The following is a 17228-nucleotide window of genomic DNA, read 5'->3' on the forward strand; positions in this document are numbered from 1 at the left end:
CTTTCTGTGGATTATTTTCCTAATTTTTCAGTGTCACATGATACTAAGTCATGGAGCAAAAAACAAATCCTTAAGTGTAGTTGGAATAGGACCGAGGAATCATTACTACTGTGTGCTGAAATCCCCTCATGATCAAGAATCAAAACTGACATATGATGAATTGAGCTAAAGGGTTAATAAGATGAATTTTTATCAGCGATGGGTTTAAACTGGATTTGGTTCTCCTGAATTTAGAATAAACCTAACTGAAAATGCTTTTTTTTTTTTTGAGACAGACCCTCACTACATTGCCCAGGCTGGACTTGAATTCCTGGACTCAAGTGCTCCTCCCACCTCACCCTTCCAAGAATATGAGACCGCAGGCATGTTCTACCTTACTCAGCTCTTACCAATATCTTTTAATGTTACATCAATATTTTTAGATAATAAACATTGTATTGTTGAACAAACTTTATACTCTAAGTTATTTTTTAATTAGGAAGAAACTAAGGAGAAAAGTTTGAAATAATCTTTGTCCCTCCCATTATACCTGTAATTACGTTTACAATTTTAGGAAAATATTTTAGAACTATAGGAAAATATTTTTAGAAGCCAACTTGGATGAATCTTGGGGAGCTCCAGAAACCTTTCACAACTTTTTGAAATGTAAATAACAATTAATTTATAGTTAATGTTTGTTTCTTCATGCCTGTATTTATAGTATTTCTCTGGGAACAGAGCTGTAGAAAAAAAAAAACAGATTAAGAAAGTTTAAAATGGCTCATGTAGGTAATTTTAAAATCTTTAAAAGATATTACCTATAGCTAGATTTCCTCTTGTTTAATTCTGCAGCTAGGATATAAGCAACCATACAAGTCCCTAAGAGAGGCAATGAGATCTATCAGAGCAACAGACTAGGAATCAGGACATGGGAACATGATGGGGGCCCTGCCGTGAACAAGTTAGGATAGCCACTTAAGTCACTTAAGTATTCTGAGCCTTGGCAGGGTGCAGTGGCTCACGCCTGTAATCCCAGCACTTTGGGAGGCTGAGGCAGGTGGATCGCTTGAGGTCAGAAGTTCAAGACCAGCCTGACCAACATGGTGAAACCCGGTCTGTACTGAAAATACAAAAATTAGCCAGGCATGGTGGCGGGCGCTGTAATCCCAGTTCCTGGGGAGGCTGAGGCAGAAGAATCACTTGAACCTGGGAGGCAGAGATTGCAGTGAGCTGACATCGCACCATTGCCCTCCAGCCTGGGCAACAGAGCGAGTCTCCATCTCAAAAAAAAAAAAAAAAAGTATTCTGAGCCTTAGTTTCCCAATCTATAAAATGACTGCCCAGACCCCCTCCTCCTCCAGCATTCTGCAGTTTCTTATTCACTTAACAAACCTTATTAGAGCCTATTAAATGCAAATTTGCTTTAAAGAGATTATTTATGTTGCCTTTGTTTAATATAATGCCAACGCCAAATATTACATGTTTATATAATGCTTCACTTTTCACATCATCCTTTATCCTCAAAATAATCCTATTTAGATAGATCAAACATTGCCAAGATCATTTTTGAATGAGTAGACATAGACACAGAACAACTAAATGACTTGTCCAGAACCAGAGCAGCTAGCAACAGAGTCAGTTCAAGATTTGGGTCTCCAGTGTCCAACAGGCTAATCTCTTTCCTTGGGCACTCTTTGCACAAATAAAAGTACCTAGCTGTATGGCTGCCTTCTTCCTTCTTTATTGTAAGAATGTCTTGCATCGGCTAGCTGTCCATATGTTTTAGGACATCTGCTGACAGTTATTTGTATACAGTTACTTGAGACCAGGGCTATGGTTTGATCCCAGTCTCTCCTCCCACGATGCAAGGACCTTGGGCTAGTGATCCACCCACAGAATAAAGATCGACAACCTTGAGGATATTCTTGGCATCAGCTGTGTTACTGCCTGGGTATGTTGTGAGGGAAACTATCTGTGGAGTCCTTGAACACATGAGGAAAGGACGGATAAGGCCAATAAACTTTATAAATAGGCTCTTACCAAAGTTTCTTTCAGAAGAAAAAGAGAGCTTTCCAATCCTTGCTTTTCTTAAAGCCATTTTTGACTAACATCTCTTGGTTGTCAAGGACACAATAAGGTCATTAAAACCGTCTTCATACTCATTTCCATATTATGTTCCCAAATGGCAGAGCTGGTGTCAGATTCCTTGAGGTGCAGGGGGAAGGGAATAATAGGAGACTTGCAAAGGCTGGTAGAGATACTAAAATATTCCATGCACTTTTTGTATATCAAAAATTATAAAAAGTCACACTTTTTCTGTAGCAAATAATATCAACAGGGAAATTCAAGCTAAGATTTAGCCCCAGAATTCGACTAGTCCTTTCAGCCTATTTTGATAACATTCTTTTTATGCCCTCTCATTCAATCCCAAGTAGGGAAACTGATCAAACGCATTCTGCACATTCCACTGAGCCCACAGATTCAGCCTCCCAGCTGCAGCGCTAACCTCACAAATTCAGACTAGCTCCAGTTTACGAGTGGAGCAACTTTCTTGAATGGAGGAATACCCCAAACATACACACTTTACCTAACTTGCCTGACTTTTGCAGCTCCAGGCTTTTTTTTTTTTTTTTTGCTGGCACCATTTTTCTGTCTAATCAGAGACTCTTAGATGGAAAGGATTTTCTCTCTGTACTCTTCCACCTCCCTCTCCACAACACAATTTCAAATTCATATTCAATACTGCATTACAACAGTTGCCTGATTTCTGTCAAGGTTCTGACCGTAATGAGGCGCCAGGATATAGTCAGATTTTCAGTTGGAAAAACTTGGCTTTATGAAGTCTGCATGTGAAGAGTTTGGCAGATGAAAATTCAGAAATACAGCCAATGAGGCAAACATTTAATCTTGGAGAAAGCCCTTCACATGAATGCAGTTGACATAGAAGAAAGGAAACCACAAAAATAACAGGGCAATAACATTAAAGACTGGGTTTACACACACCAAAAGAAAAGGAAATTCAGAGCTGACTTCCACATCCCTTCTTACAATTCATCACCACAGGACGAAATATGCAGATGTTGTTTTTTTTGTGTGTGTGTGAGACTGGAAAAAGAGCAAAAATTTCAAAATCAGATTAAGACAAATGTAGTAAAATGTCTGGTTATTCTTTGCACTGTGATAGTTATCTTTCATTTTAAGTTCTTAAAATACTTTGCAACAATTAGTCTCCCCATTTCATAGCTGGGGAAATTGAGATCCAGGCCAATAAAGTAACTCCTGCTAACACATAGAAAATCAGAACCACAAATTGAGTTGCAACTTTTTTTCCACAACCTGTTACAAAAGTCATTTTCTTGATAGCATGCTCTTTTCAAAAAGAAAATAGATTCAAGCCCAGTTCTGGGGATAAATCTTACCTTGAATTTAGATTCTAGAACTTTTATTTAAAAGTATTCAATCAGTCAAACAGAGATGTTCTAACATCAATTGTTACAATAGTGCTTTGAAAAATGTATGTTTTAGGCCAGATTTTATTTGTAATAATGTGAAAATCATTTGGTAATATTTCTTTCCCTTTAGCAACTCACATTTTAGTTCCAGTAATTCAATAAAGTGGCAAGGTCTAATCATATCTGATTATCTGAGAATTTTTTTTTTACTTCTTTTCAGTGAGACTTAAAAATCATAAAACATTGTACTAAACCCCCAATACAGGGAAATCACTTAAACTTTTGAGGTAAAATTTATATCTACTTAACCAAAGTTTATTGTGCATACGTTGGAACTTTCACTGGATCCTTCTAAGTAATGTTTACATTTCAACCTTGATAAATTTTGAGAGAGCTCCTCAACTTCCTCTCTGTCCCTTTTTCTATTAAATGTGTTGTCAGTAGAGTTTTAATTTTTGAACCAATCTACCAGAAGTTGTACCCACAGAAATTGTTCTGAAGTCAGAGCTTCAAGGGTTCAAGCCACACTTGGAAAGAAATTTATCCAGGGTGGCTGGATGGCAGCATAGCTGGAAGGGAACTTGGGTAGCAGTCAAGGATGGAGACACGAGCCTAACCAGGAACACTAGGGAGGAGAATGTAAAATGAGGTCCGAAGGCAAGAGAAACAGATGGCCCAGAAAATCTAGAAGATCAGGACATGCACCTCTACATGAAACAGGGCCAGCCAGTGAGGAAAGGGGAGGGAGAGTAGAAATGATGAGAAGATGCTGAAGTTCCCATTTTTAGAGGAGCCAGATGGCTGAATGTGGATGGGCTGAGAGGCACAAAAGAGTCACTCATGCAGGTCAAACAGGTTAATGCAAATAACACTGAAAGAAAGAATGTAAAGTTCAATAAATTTTCATATGAATTTTTAAAAATTTATTCTTATGATTATTCTTATTGCAGAATAAAGGTAAAACAAAGATATTCTTTAAATAATAAGAAGAAACTCAGAAGAGTTTACCTCTAACAGACATGCACCAAAGAAATTCCAAAGGGTGTTTTTTTGTTTTTTTGGTTTTTTTTTTTTTAAGACGGAGTCTGTCTCTGTCGCCCAGGCTGGAGTGCAATGGCATGATCTCAGGTCACTGTAACCTCTGCCACCCGGGTTCAAGTGATTCTCCTTCCTCAGCCTCCAGAGCAGCTGGGACTACTGGCACCCGCCACCACGCCCAGCTAATGTTTGTAATTTTAGTAGAGATGTGGTTTCACCACGTTGACCAGGCTGGTCTCGAACTCCTCACCTCAGGTGATCCATCTGCCTCGGCCTCCCAAAGTACTGGGATTACAGGTGTGAGCCACCATGCCCGGCCCAAAGGGTGTTCTTTACACAAAAGGAGAGTGGTCCTAGATGCAAAGATGAAGATACAGGAAGGAATAAGGAGCATCAAATTTGGTATATATGGAAGTTAATCTAAATGATTATTGACTCTATAAAAGGATAATAATGATAGATTTAAGCCCAAACCTCAAAAACCATGGGATGCAGGGGACAGGATAAAATTCTAGGAACTCCCAAGAAGTATGGTGAAGGGAGATCCCAGGATGACAGCTGTTCCAGAAAGAGAAAGAAATTAGTTAAGATTGGAAAGAGACTGACTCAAGATACACAAGCACATTGAAGACTTTATCATCAAGACACCTCTGCCATGTATCTATCTCCTTTTTATCATGAGTTGAAAATGCCTGGGTGAGCCAGCCCAGGCTTTTATTTGTATTTGGCTTGTCTTAACCACCTGCTGAATTTATGGTCTCAGCTGAATTAGATCAGCTGAGAACACACAGTTCACTCCACAGACGTGTGCCACTTAGATCTGCTCCTGAGAGCAGGAGGTAGGCTTAGAAGCTTAGTAGCAGTGATAAGCTGAGAAGAAGAAACTACAGAACAATTCACTCCTCTATAATTTTACTCCTAGATAGGTACATAGCCCATGAAACAATCCGGCTTGCTGGCCCAAATCTGGTATACCAGCCCAATGTTTCCCAAGATTTGCTCAAGATCTTGCCTGATTACTTCCCCAGATGGACATCTTACAAACTTTCAGAGGAGCTGAAGCCAGATTGTGAGTATACAATTCTGTTCAGTCATCTTCTCCGAGAACCCTCTCTCATCTTTTTTCTCAAAGGTAGGTTTGTGCTTGCTACAGAGTTTTTCAAAACTAAGCCATATATATATATCATGTAGGAATATATTTGTCACTTGTGAATCCATAAAGAAGCACAAAAGATTTACCAAAACAAGGCAGGATGATGGTTACACCTGGCAGACAGGAGAAGAATGTAATTGAGGAGGTGATCACAAAGGCTTTCAAGGTATTGGCAATATTTTTATTTCTTAATCTGGGTAATGAATACTCAAGAGTTCATTTTAGTGTAAATCTTTACACTGTTCCTCTAGATTCTATACATAATTAAAAAGAAAAGTGGCAAGAAAAGTCACTTAGCCCCGCCATTTCCATCTCACAATCCCAAACATACTGCACTTGCTATTTCCTTTCTCTTTACTAGAACCCTGCTGCCACCATTGTCCAAACCAGCACCATAACTTGCCTGGAATATGACATGGTTTTCTAAATTAGAAATTGTCTTTTCACTTCTAACTCTGTCCCCCTACATTGTGTTTTCCACACAAAAGCCAGCTGATCCTTTTAAAGCCTAAGTTGGATCTTGTCACTCCTCTGCTGAAAATTTCCAACAGTTCCCACCCAACTCAGATGAAATGAGAGTTCTTACCATGGGCTGCAAAGCTCTAACTGACCTGGCCCTGTTAACCCTCTGCCCTTGCCTGCTGGCTTGCCCCTTCCATTTCCTGTCAGACTGGGTCCTTGTTGCTCCTTTAACTCACCCAGCACACTCCTAGCTCAAAGGCCTGCTTTTTCATCTCAAGAAGTTCATAGAGAAAAATCACTTTTTATTTATGTTTCAGATAAATGACTTTTTATCAGAAAGGCCTTCCCTGACCATGTATCTATTTAAATGTTATTAAATATTATCCCTGATGTGCTTTATTATTATTCTTAGAACTTATTAAAATAGGACACACATATTTGTTCACTTTTTTCTTTATTCTTTTCTCCTTTACTAGAATGTGAGCTCCATGAGGCCAGAACCTTTGTCTTTTTTTTTTTTTTGTCTTAACTGTTGAACAGTGTCTGGCAATACAGTAGGAGTTCTTTTAATATTTGTTGAGCAAATGAAGAATAATCCTTTATTTACATGGATCCTTAATCTCAGCCAGATCTTCCAACAAGTCCTGGGTTTACTAGACTTTCTTGTTCTTCACTCAGGTTCTTACAAATGGTCACCAGAAGGAGGACAATCACAAGTAAGTCACTCAGGCAAAAACTGAGAGTTCACAAAGGCAAAGGATTATAAAAATATTGATGAACTTTGAAAAACTCAAGTCTGCATCATGTCCTTAAGAATAGAAACAGGTTATAAAGAAAAGGTATAATTAGATAAAAATATAACTATGAAGCATGCATGAAGTATGACTGACTCTAGTTGAAATCCACACCTCTCAAGAAAGAGGATGTTATGGACTGAATGGTTGTATTCCTCCTAAATTTGTATGCTGAAGCTTTAACCCCCAATGTGATGGTATTTGGATATGGAGACTTTGGGAGGAAATTAGGTTTAGATGAAGCTGAGTCTCCCATGATAAGACTAGTGTACTTCCAAGAAGAAGAAGAGACCAGAGCTCTCTCTGCCAAGTGAAGACACCATGAGAAGATAGTTTGTCTTCAAGTCAGGAAGAGAGCTCTGGCCAGGAACCAAATCTGCCAGGACCTTGATCTTAGACTTCCCAGTCTCCAGAACTGTGAGAAATGAATGTCTGTTGTTTAAGCCATTCACTCTACGATATTTTACTATAGCATCCCAAGCTGACTAAGACAAAGGCCACTTGACATAGAATAGGAAAAAAAAATCCCCAGCCATCCCCAGTCAACTATATTTAAGTTACTATGAAAATAAACAGGAGTAAGTGTATTTGGGATTTAAATCACTATGAATTTTAATGCATTTAATTGAAGTCACAGACCATTGAAAATGAATAAGGTAAATTTTAAGAAAGAGGAGAATCTCACAGCTACATTAGTCAAAACCGAAAATTAATGTTACTTCAATACTTATTGCTACATCTGTTTCTTTGTTTTTGTCTTTTTTCCCCCAGTAGAAAAGCTTATCTCTAAATTTGAATTAGTTGGCTTTTGCTGATCCACATTTCAAAGATCTTACTTCTTAAGTTTTGTTGAAAACAAACAAGTAACCAAAAAAGAAACCATTAACTCATATCAATGAGTGACAATAAGTTGAAAAAAAATATTTTAGGTTAAAATCCTTCTTAACATAATATGGCTGGAATATAAGAGCTAGTTATTACAATTTAGTCTTGGTTTCATCTTTCATTTACTGTTTTTAAAATTCAGATTTTCCATTAGGAACAAAAATCCATTGTTATCATTCAGCCACATTTCTTTTCCATGTAATTTTGATTTAAAACTTGCATATTTACATGAAACTTTTCATTTTAGGAAAATTTGACAAATAATTTTTCATCTGTCTCTTTAACCCTAAAAAGATTAATTTATATGCTTAATAATAAGGCAATATATGTATACTGTTCAAAAAAACAGCTCCTGGCTGCTATTGGGCCCTAGTAGAGATGGGTGTCTGATTGTGAGTCAAGAGACCTTAATTTTAATCCTGCCTCTAGTAATAACTACTGGCTTTACCACTTTGGAAAGTCATTTAATTTTTGTGTATCTTAGTTTTTTCTCATCTGGAAGGTGACTAAATAAAGGTTAAGGAGGGCACCAGTTTTAATATTATATGAGCCCATATATGACTGTTTCATCTTGCATGATTTGATGCCGTCTTAATCTGAATCTGTACAATTGTAAATATATATGCCTCTAACAACAAAGTCCTACAATACATGGAGTAAAAACTTTTAGAATTGAAGACAGAAACAGACAATTCAACAATAAGAGTTGCAGACTTCAATACTCCACTTTCAATAGTGGAGAGAAAAACTAGACAGAAGATCAGCAAGGAAACAGAAGTTTGAACAACATTACAGGCCAACTAGACCTAACATATCCATAGAACATTCAACCCCAAAATAGCAGAATGTACATTCCCTTCAAGATTAAAAAGAACACTCTCCAAGATAGATCATATACTAAGCCACAAAACAAGTTTTAATAAATTTTAAAAGACTACAGTTGTACAAGGTGTGCTCTCTGACCCCAACAGAAGTAAATTTAGAATAAGTAACAACAGGAAAATTGGGAAATTACCAAATATGTAGAAGTTAAATGATACACTTCACATAATTATTTAGTCAAAGAAGAAATAACAAGGGAAATTAGAAAATACTCTGAAATGAATGAAAACAAACACACAACATACCAAAATGCATAGGATGCAATAAAAGCAGTGTTCAGAGGGAAAGTTATAACTGTAAATACTTACTTTCAAAAAGAATAAAGATCTCAAATCAATACTTTAAACCCGAAGGTAAAGAAACTAGAAAAGGAAGAGTAAATTAAAACCAGAGCAAACAGAGGAAGCAAATAATACATAATAGGGTGAAAATGAATAAAATAGAGAACTCAAAAAGCAGAGCAAATCAACAAAACAGATGGTTTTTTAAATAATGAAAACTAAGTTTATTTCCCTTTCCTCTACTCCACCACCCATTTTTCCTCCCCAGTTGCATTCTCTCTTACAAGTTTCTCATGTATCCTTTGAGAAACAGTCTACAAATTTTATAGGTATATATTTTCTTTCTCTCCCCCATAAAATTTTTAGCATAATATGAACACAATTTTCCACCATGCTTAGAGAGCATTGGTATTCTCTATACAGGTGCACAATTTTTAGTTTTTCATTGTGTAATTTATATAATACTTTAACAAGACTCCTGCTGATAGACTTTTAAGTTGTTGTTTGCAGTCTTTTGCTATTATAAGCAGTATTTAAGTATACAATGACCTTATATATGTTTCATTTAAATGTGCAATTATAATTCTAAAATTAGTATTTAAAAGCAAATTTTTGTTGAGTCCAAGAATGCATGATGTTTTCCCACACCTTTCTTGTGGGGAGGATGTACTATCAAATGTCTGATAATTTTCTGATATAGTAAGATTGAAAAAATTAAAAATACATATTATCCTATAGTCATATTGTTTATGGCTTCTGTGTCATAAATCAAAGGGCTTTCCTCCCTCTCAGTTTATTTTTATTTTATTTTAACTTTTTTTAATGTCAATCCTTTTCTGGTAGTTTTTGGTTGCATGGATTAATGCGTTAGTGGTAATTTCTCAGATTTTGGTGTACTCATCACCCAAGCAGTGTACAATGTACCCAATGTGTAGTTGTTTATCCCTCACCTCCCTCTTCCCCCTGAATCCCCAAAGTCCATGATATCATTCTTATGCCTTTGCATTCTCATAGCTTACCTCTTACTTATAATGCATGCATATGCTTGTGTCTTTACCATATAATGACTTATTTTCCTCTGGGTAGACTCTCTACCCAGCAGTGGGATTGCTGGATCAAATGGTAGTTCTACTTTAGTTCTTTAAGGAATATCCATCCTGTTTTACACAGTGGTTGTACTAGCTTACATTCCCACCAGCAGTGTAAAAGTGTTCCCTTTTCACCATATCCACTCCAACACCTACTATTTATTATTTTTTTTAATTATGGCCATTCTTGCAGGAGTAAGGTAGTATCTCGTTGTGGTTTTGATTTGCATTTCCCTGATAGTGATGTTGCGCATCTTTGCATGTGTTTGTCGGCCATTTGTATATCTTCTTTTGAGAATTGTCTATTTATGTCCTTTGCCCACTTTTTGATGAGATTATTTGTTTTGTCTTGCTGATTTGAGTTCCTTGTAGATTCTTGATATTAGTCCTTTGTCAAATGCATAATTTGTGAGTATTTTCTCCCATTTTGTGGGTTGCCTGTTTACTCTGCTGATTGTTTCTTTCACTGTGCAGAAGCTTTTTAGTTTAATTAGGTCCCATTTATTTACTTTTGTTTTTGTTGCATTTGCTTTTGGGTTCTTGGTCATGTACTCTTTGCCTAAGCCAATGTCTAGAAGAGTTTTGCCAGTGTTACCTTCTAGAATTTTTATAGTTTCAGGTCTTAGATTTAAGTCTTTGATCCATCTTGAGTTGATTTTTGCATAAGGTGAGAGATGAGGATCCATTTCATTTTTCTAAATGTAGCTTGCCAATTATCGCAGCTCTATTTGTTGATATTGGGTGACTTTTCCCCACTTTATGTTTTTGTTTGCTTTGTCAAAGATCAGTTGGCTGCAAGTATTTGGCTTTATTTCTGGATTCTCTATTCTGTTCCATTGGTCTACATGCCTATTTTTATACCAGTATCATGCTGTTTTGCTGGGTAATGTGATGCTTCCAGATTTGTTCTTTTGCTTAGTCTTGCTTTGGCTATGTGGGGTCTTTTCTTTTTTTGGTTTCATGTGAATTTTCAGATTGTTTTTTCTAGTTCTATGAAGAATGATGGTGGTATTTTGATGGAATTGCATTCAATCTGTAAACTGCTTTTGGCAGTATGGTTATTTTCACACCATTGATTCTACGTATCTGTGAGCATGGGATGTGTTTCCATTTGTTTGAGTCATTAATGATTTCTTTCAGCAGGTTTTGTAGTTTTTCTTGTACAGATCTTTCACCTTCTTGGTTAAGTATATTTCTAAGTGTTTTAATTTCTTGCAGCTGTTGTAAAAGGGATTGAGTTCTCGGTTAGTTTCTCAGCTTGGTCATTGTTGGTGTATAGTAGTCCTACTAATTTGTGTACCTTGATTTTGTATCCTGAAACTTTGCTGAATTCATTTATCAGATCTAGCAGTTTTTTGGATGACTCTTTAGGGTTTTCTAGGTGTACATTCATATCACCACTAAACAGCAACAGTTCAACTTCCTCTTTACTGATTTTGATGCCCTTTATTTCTTTCTCATGTCTGATTGCTCTGGCTAGGACTTCCAGTACTATATTGAATAGAAGTGGTAGATGTGGGCATCTTTGTCTTTTTCAGTTCTCATGGGAAATGCTTTCAATCTTTCGCCATTCTGTATAATCTGGCTGTAGGTTTTTCATAGATGGCTTTTATTACCTTGAGGTATATCCCTTCTATGCCAACTTTGCTGAGGGTTTTAATTATAAAAAGATGCTGAATTTTGTCAAGTGCTTTTTCTGCATCTATTGAGATGATCATATTAGGTTGGTGCACAAGTAATTGCAGTTTCAGATCATGAATTTTCAGTCATTATAACTAGGCTCAAACCACCTCTTTATTAATCAAAACAGGAACCATTACAATCAACACATTTTTGCCAACAAGAAATGTTTGTTTATTCCTGTAGCATAAAAATCTGTGCCTTGAGATTCAGTGAATGCTTGGAAAGCATTTTCTACATCCAGCTGGTTGTGGAAGTGTTTTCCCTGCAAAAAGCTGTTGAGATGCTTAAAGAAGTGGTAGTCAGTTGGTGAGAGGTCAAGTGAATATTGCAGATTAGACAAAACTTCATAGTACAATTTGTTCAATTTTTGAAGTGTTGGTTGTGTGACGTGTGATTAGGCACTGTTTTGAGAAGAATTGGGCCCTTTCTGTTGACCAATGCCAGCTCCAGGCATTGCAGTTTTCAGTGCATTTCATAGACTTCCTGAGCATAATTTTCAGATATAATGGTTTTGCCGGGATTCAGAAAGCTGTAGTGGATAAGATTGGCAGCAGACCACCAAACAATGACGATAACCTTTTTTGGTGCAAGGTTGGCTTTGGGAAGTGTTTTGGAGTTTCTTCTCGGTCCAACTGCTGAGCTGGCCATTGCCAGTTGTATAAAATCCAATTTTCGTCACATGTCACAATCTGATCAAGAAATGGTTCTTGCAAATTGTTGTTGCAAAGAGTAAGAGGAGATGACACTTCAAAATGATGATTTTTTTGATTTTCACTCATGAGGCACCCATTTATTCAGCTTTTTCACCTTTACAATTTGTATCAAATGCCAAGTGACCATAGAATGGTAGGCATTGAGTTCTTCTGCAACTTCTTGTGTAGTTGTAAGAGGATCAGCTTCGATGATTGCTCTCAATTGGTCACTGTCAACTTCTGATGGCCCGCCACCATGCTCCTCATCTTCAAGGCTCTTGTCTCCTTTGCAAAACTTTTTGAACCATCACTGCACTGTACATTCATTAGCAGTTCCAGGGCCAAATGTGTTGCTGATGTTGCGAGTTGTCTCCACTGCTATACAACCCATTTTGAAAACAAATAAGAAATTAGCTTAAATTTGCTTTCTAACATCATTTCCACAGTCTAAAATAAACATAAAATAAACAGCAAGTAATACGTCACTAGCAAAAAAATCATAAAGTAAGATATGCCCATTAAAATGATGTATAACATAACCACATTTATTTAAGAATGTATTCCAATATCAAACAGCAAATTTCAACAATGCAAAGACCACAATTACTTTTGCACTTACCTAATATGATTTTTGTTTTTCATTCTGTTTATATGGTGTATCACACTTATTAACTTGTATATGTTAAACCATCCCTGCATCCCTGGTATGAAACCCACTTGATCATGGTGGATTATCTTTTTGATATGCTGTTGGATTTGGTTAGCTAGTATTTTGTTGAGGATTTTTGCATCTATCTTCATCAGGGATATTGGTCTCTAATTTTCTTTTTTTGTTGTGTCCTTTCCTGGTTTTGTTATCAGGGTAATACTGGCTTCGTAGAATGATTTAAAGAGGATTCCCTCTTTCTCTGTCTTTTGGAGTAATTTCAGTAAGATTGGTACCAATTATTCTTTCAATGTCTGATAGAATTCAGCAGTGAATCCATCTGGTCCTGGACTTTTTTTGTTGGCAATTCTTTTATTACTGTTTCAATCTTGCTACTTGTTATTGATCTGTTCAGAGTTTCTATTTATTTCTAATTTAATCTGGGGGCATTGCATATTTCCAGAGATTTATCCATCTCTAGATTTTTACTTTGTGTGTGTAAAGGTGTTCATAGTAGCCTTGAATGATCTTTTGCATTTCTGTGATATCAGTTATAAAATTTCCTATTTCATTTCTAATTGAGCTTATTTAGATCTTCTCTCTTCTTTTCTTGGTTAATCACACTAATGGTCTACCAATTTTGTTTATCTTTTCAAAGAACCAGCTTTTTGTTTCATTTACCTTTTGTGTTATTTTATTGTTTCAATTTTGTTTAGTTCTGCTATGATCTTTGTTATTTATTTTCTTCTACTGGGTTTGGGTTTCGTTTGTTCTTATTTCTCTAGTTCTGTGAAGTGTGACAGATTGTTTATTAGCACTCTTTCAGACTTTTTGATGTAGGCACTTCATGCTGTAAACCTTCCTCTTAGCATTGCTTTTGCTGTACCCCAGAGGTTTTGATAACTTGTATCACTATTATTGCTCAGCTGAAATAATTTTTTAATTTCCATCTTGATTTCATGGTTGAACCAAAGATCATTCAAGAGCAGATTATATAATTTCCATGGATTTTTACAGTTTTAACAGTTCCTTTTGGAGTTAATTTCCAGTTTTATTCCACTATGGTCTGAGAGGATACTTGATATAACTTTGATTTTCTTAAATTTACTGAGACTTGTTTTGTGACCTATCATCTGATCTATCTTGGAGAATGTTCCATGTGTTGAAGAAAAGAATGTATATTCTGCAGTTGTTGGGTAGACTGTTCTGAAAATACCTGTTAAGTCCATAGGTTCTATGGTATAGTTTAAGTCAATTGTTTCTTTGTTGACTTTCTGTCTTGATGACCTGTGTAGTGCTGTCAGTGCAGAACTGAAGTCCCCCACTATTATTGCATTGCCATCTATCTCATTTCTTAGGTCTAGTTGTAATTGTTTTATAAATTTGGGAGCTCCAGTGTTAGGTGCATATATACTTAGAATTGTGGTATTTTCCTGTGGACTATTCCTTTTTCCATTATATAATGTCCCTCTTTGTCTTCTTTTACTGTTGTTGCTTTAAAGTCTCTTTCATCTGACATAAGAATAGCTACTTCTGCTCATTTTGGGTTTCCATATGTGTGAAATATCTTTTTCCACTCCACTACCTTAAGTTTATGTGAGTCCTTACGTGTTTGGTGAGTCTCTTGAAGACAGCAGGTACTTGGTTGGTGGATTTTTATTCATTTTGCCATTCTGTATCTTTTAAATGGAGCATTTAAGCCATTTACATTCAACGTTGGTATTAAGATGTGAGGTACTGTTCTATTCATCATGTTAGTTGTTGCCTTAATACCTTGGGTTTTTTTCCATTGTGTTATTGTTTTATAGGCCCTGTGAGATTTATGCTTTAAGGAGGTTCTACTTTGGTGTATTTTGAGGTTTTCCTTAAAGATTTAGAACTTCTTTAGGCATGTTGTAGTGCTGGCTTAGTAGTGATTAATTCTTTCAGCATTTGTTTGTCCAAAAAACACTTTATCTTTCCCTCATTTATGAAGCTTAGTTTTGCTGAATACAAAATTCTTGGCTAACAATTATTTTGTTTCAGGAGGCTAAAGATGGGACCCCAATCCTTTCTGGCCTGTAAGGTTTCTGCCAAGAAGTCTGCTGTTAATTGATAGGTTTTCCTTTATAGGTTATCTGATGCTTTTTTCTCAAAGCTCTTAATATTCTTTCATTTGTCTTGACTTTAGATAATCTGATGGCTATGTACCTAAGTGAAGATCTTTTTGTGATGAATTTCCCAGGTGTTCTTTGAACTTCTTGTATTTGGATGTCTAGATCTCTAGCAAGGACAGGGAAATTTTCTTCGATTATTCCCTCAAATAAGTTTTCCAAACTTTTAGATTTCTCTTCTTCTTCAGAAACACCAATTATTGTTAGGTTTGGCTGTTTAACATAATCCCAAATTTCTTAGAGGCTTTGTTCATTTTTTAAAATTATTTTTTATTTTACTTTATCAGATTGGGTTAATTTGGAAGACTTGTCTTCAAACTCTGAAATTCTGTTTTCTACTTGTTCTAGTCTACTGTTGAAACTTTCAACTGCATTTTGTATTTCTCTAAGTGTGTCTTTCTTTTCTGGAAGTTGTGATTGTTTTGTTTTTATCATATCTATTTCTCTGGAGAATTTTTCATCTGTATCTGTATCTTTTTAAAATTTCTTTAGGTTGTTTTTCACCTTTCTTTGGTATCTCCTTGAGTAGCTTAATAATCAACCTTCTGAATTCTTTATCTGGCACTTCAGAGATTTCTTCTTGGTTTGGATTCATTGCTGAGGAGCTGGTGTGATCTTTAGCAGATGTTATAGAACCCTGTTTTGTCATATTACCAGAATTACTTTTCTGGTTCCTTCTCATTTGGGTAGACTATTTCAGTGGAGAGGTCTGAAACTCAAGTCCTGTTGTTTAGATTCTCTTGTCCCATGGGGTAATCCCTTGATATGGTGCTTTCCTCCTTCCTCTAGGGATGTGGCTTTCTGAGAGCTGAACTGCAGTGATTGTTATTGCTCTTCTGGGTCTAGCCACCCGGTGGGACTACCAGGCTCTGGGTTGCTGCTGGGGGATATCTGCAAAGGGTCCTGTGATGTGATCCATATTCGGGTCTCACAGCCATGGATACCAGCATCTGCTCTGGTAGAGATGGCAGGAGAGTGAAGCAGACTCTGTCAGAGTCCTTGGTTGCAGATATGTTTAGTGTACTGGCTTTCTTGAATGCTGGTTATGCTAGCTGTGAAATTATCATGTGGACACACTCAGGACCGCTGGTTAGCCGGGATGTTGTAAGCAGTGGAATTATGTGTTGGATTCTCCTGTCTGAGATCAGGTTTATTCTGTCATGAGTTGCTTTAATGACCTGAGTTGGTTGGCCTCTAGCCAGGAGGTGGCACTTTCAAGAGAGCACCAGCTGTGGTAGTAGTAGGGGGTTCTAAGCATGCCATAAGATGACCATGGTATTTTGGTTTCTCCAGTGATGGGCAGGGTCATAAAGTTCCCAAGAGTTTCTAGGTTTTGTGTTCAGCTACCAGGGTGGGTAGTGAAATACCATCAAGTGAGGGCAGGATTAAGTGGCTCTTAACTCAGACTCTCTTTGGGCAGGGCCTGCCATGGTCACTGTTGGGGGGATGGGTTCTCAGTCCATTGGGGCTATATTCCAGAGGGGATCTTGGCTGCCTCTGCTGTATCATATAGTTCACCATAGAAGTGGGGGATACCCAGTAGTGAGAAGCCTGACTCAGCTCCCATGAAGTTGGTGAGGCTGGTCTCACTCCTGCAGTGCCTTGCTCAGACCTTGCACCATGAGCTACCCTACTGAGAAACCAAGGTGACCTTTAGACCTCATCCCTCCCTGTCTGCCTATTTGAGCAGCAGCAGCTCCTGCGCTCCTGTGCTTGCTCATATCCACAGCAGCATCCACTCATCCCCTGGACTCCACTAAGAAAAAAATTGTTCCCAGTCTAAACCACTACCAATTACAGTTGAGAGTTTCCTTCTCTCTGCAACCCCTCCCCAATTCTGCTGACTGCCTTCCCAAAGGGCCCCTGTGAGATTTAGTCAGGGATAGCTCCCCTGGACTTTAGCTAGAGACTGGGAGTAAGTGCAAGGCACTTCATGCTGCTACTTCTACTTTTATATTTCGGGTGACTTCTTAACTCCATTTCATCTCTAGGTAAGGTTGAATCCTTCTCCTGTGATCTGGATTTTCAGATTCCCCAGGT

General features: G+C 37.1%; 2 long non-coding RNA genes across 10 annotated transcripts in view; one reads left to right on the forward strand and one right to left on the reverse strand.

Moving 5' to 3' along the window:
* Positions 1-17228, reverse strand: part of HEY2-AS1 (HEY2 antisense RNA 1) — a 171898-nt gene that overhangs the window by 99352 nt on the left and 55318 nt on the right. For 5 of the 9 annotated variants that reach the window (NR_183495.1, NR_183493.1, NR_183494.1 and 2 more), the window contains one exon: positions 8659-12767. The exons of the other annotated variants lie outside the window; for them this stretch is intronic. This is a non-coding gene — a long non-coding RNA (HEY2 antisense RNA 1). Of the gene's footprint in view, positions 1-8658; positions 12768-17228 lie in introns of those variants that run through there. 9 annotated transcript variants of the gene reach the window in all.
* Positions 1-17228, forward strand: part of LINC02523 (long intergenic non-protein coding RNA 2523) — a 45866-nt gene that overhangs the window by 2527 nt on the left and 26111 nt on the right. Inside the window, exons 2-3 of the long non-coding RNA NR_038906.1 lie at positions 5498-5538; positions 6763-6800. This is a non-coding gene — a long non-coding RNA (long intergenic non-protein coding RNA 2523). The remainder of the gene's footprint in view (positions 1-5497; positions 5539-6762; positions 6801-17228) is intronic.

The sequence above is a fragment of the Homo sapiens genome, chromosome 6 (assembly GCF_000001405.40).
Source record: "Homo sapiens chromosome 6, GRCh38.p14 Primary Assembly".
Taxonomy (NCBI): Eukaryota; Metazoa; Chordata; class Mammalia; order Primates; family Hominidae; genus Homo; species Homo sapiens.